Genomic DNA, 2,966 nt, shown 5'->3' with positions numbered 1-2,966 from the left:
TGTTAAAAGACAGGAAAACTCTGGAAGGACCAGAAAATCAGACCTGGTATTTCATCAGAGAAGGGCCCCCAAATTACTCCACAGAACTGAAACAGTGGAGTCACCATTGCCATCCTCCCTGGGCACAGACATTGCAGCTTGCCTCATTGACCCAATGGATGTAAAGCACTGTCTGTCACAATGAGAAAATCTGCCTCTGCAGGCTTCACGTATCTGCCACAAACCCTACCAGAATGCTTCGGTATTTCTTTCTATGTTATTAGCTTCTGAATCAAAGTCTGGAAAAGTATAACTAAGTGGCAAAGCCAGAGTCAAATGCCTAATTTTCAGCTACAAGGGAGGCTAGGAAATATCCATGGAGGAGATAGTCTTTACCTCTCACCATGATACATAAAGTGGGAAATTCCTCAAGCACAGGAAATATATCCAATGCTTCTGGATGGCCAAAGAGAATGAGAAATGTCTACTGTAGTTCACTCCTTTAACTGTCCAACACAGCACATGACCTTCTTCTATACTTAATCTTCCCAATCACACAACAGTAATGGTCTCATCTGAAATAATAAAACTACCCCCAGAAATATGTACTCATGTTCCCTAAAGCAATGCCTTATTGGGTATTTTACCCAGCTCCATATCTAGGCTCACTGTGTAATGCCCAATCCTTTTCTAGTTCTATATATTGATATTCTGTACACAATGCCCCACATAAAATAACATCAAAAAGAAGATGGATAAAAAATATAATTAAAATATATTATCATATGTATGACACACCAAGGAAAAAATGCCTATATTTAAACTTGCAAATAATAACATGCTTCTATCTAATGTAATGCAACTAGTACAAAGGTGTACTAACTAACACAAAGGTGTACAAACCCTCTCCCCAAAAAGGGAAGGCCCAGAGCCCATAAGTTCCTGTATCCATGTTTGAGTGATACTCATTCTTCATGTTAATTACAATTCTAGTATGCTTTCCTGGGTAGCCAAAAGTTACAAGGTTAACTCCAACTAACATACATAATATCAACCAGTAGAGAGAGAAGAAAGGGGAAATTAATTAATATATAAAAATATATGCATATCAAGGTGAGGAAGAATATGTATAGACATCACAATCCTCATTTCTTCAACTAGACATGAGGCCATATTTAGTGATTAAAATTTTCCACTACCCATCCCATAATCTTTTTGTCTTCACCAGCCTTTAGCTGACCATGGTTTTTTTTTTCCTAGATGTTTCCCAGGCCAGCTTAACTCTGTCCGGCAGTAATCAGCAAGTGTCAGAGAATGCTTGCTGGGAAAGAAGCCCGCAGTGTGAGGCTGAGCAGGTAGGATGTGGGAATCCAGTGCCACCTGCTGCTGACAACTGTCCTATCCATACTCAGGCCTTCTCAAAGCCCAGCCCCTTCTTTCCTACAAATACCTGGAGGGATCCCTAGAGTAGGATGAGGTCTGGCAACTGCATGTGATGGCTCTACAGATAAGAAAATGGGTCTGCCGGATTTGTTCCCAGAACCCAGAGCAATGCTTGACTCATAGTTAGAAGGCAAGGTGAGGTTTGGGTCAAAATCATAGATCTGGAGCTGTACAAATCTAGATATGAAGACAATCTCTGATTCTTTGTGAGCTCTGTGATCTTGGCCAAACTTCTTAATGTCTCTGAGCCTTGGCTCTTTGTAAAATAGGAATTAAAATGGCATCTCCTTTATAGAGTTGCTCTCATGATTAAGTGAGATAATGCACACAAGTGTTCAGCATGGTTCTGGGTCTGGGACACAGTGAATGTTCAATATATTCAGTTAATATTGTTTCTTTTTACTATTATGAGCACAAAGTAATTATTTTTTAATGAATAAGTTTACCTATATTCAGGGAACCTGGAGTCCCCAGCTCAGGTTGAGCGCCAGAGTCTGTCCCCAGCCTCTGATAATTTTGTTTTGCTCCTAAAAAGAGGTCTGGGGCTGAAGAGGGATCCTGCCCCATAGCCCTACCTATTGTCTTGGACCAAGGCTACCTCCTCTGAGCTTCTGCGTGTCCTGTTCTTGGCAGTGTTTGGGGTCTGCCTTAGAGGTAAGCATGCCTCTAGGAACAGAGAGCTACCACTGGCTCAATCATTAACCTGACCACCACCAATAGCTCAGGCTATTGGGCCCCACTTCCCACTCCCAGGTTTCCCTGCCCCAGCCCTGGCTGAGATGTAGATGTCAGACCAGATGCCACCTTCTGCCCCGTTCTCTATGGACAGATGGCCGCCCTCTCTAAAAGGGCTTTTCTTAGTGTTACCTAGCATACCTGAGGGCTAGGCTATGGTAGGGAAGGAAATAGACTGATTGACTGAAAATCCGCTTGCTACAGCCAATTTGTAAATGATTGAGCTACCAAATTATTGAAAATTGATTTTTGTTTTAGTTTCAGTGTCACTTTCTTACAGGTATTTAACCACAAAGCAGCCTGCCCAGGCTTGAAATCCTTGTCTATTTCACGGTTCAAAGGCAGAGCACTTCTTAAGTGGACATCATTTAACTGTGAACAGTTAGACTTTCTCGTAGATTCAGCTTCCTATCTTCTTTACTTTTGGAGACATTTGCCTTACTCTTTGCTTACCTTCTGAGTCTACTTCTACATGTATTTCTTGCTCTGACAGCAAACTGTCTGCGGCCACCCAGCCTACATATGGTTAAGGGTTGGACAGTGTTCAGGGAATTGGCCATTCAGTAATTTGATGATTCAGCAAATGGATTTTCAGCAAATTAACTCTTGGGGAGTTGGCTTTTGGCAAATAAGCCATTCAGTAAATTAGTTTTCATTGACTTGACCTAGATCCATAGGCAATCTAAGTTCCCAGGTAAAAGAATAGAATACTAACTGGTAGCAAAGAAAGAAAGAGTCACATATTTCTTGTACTCTAAAGGAATTAGGACTCACTAACTCCTAACCACTGTGTGTACCAGCAAGTGTGC

This window comes from Homo sapiens, chromosome 10 (genome assembly GCF_000001405.40).
Source record: "Homo sapiens chromosome 10, GRCh38.p14 Primary Assembly".
NCBI lineage: Eukaryota > Metazoa > Chordata > Mammalia > Primates > Hominidae > Homo > Homo sapiens.
The sequence above is the reverse complement of the archived record's forward strand: the minus strand, read 5'-3'. Positions refer to the sequence as shown.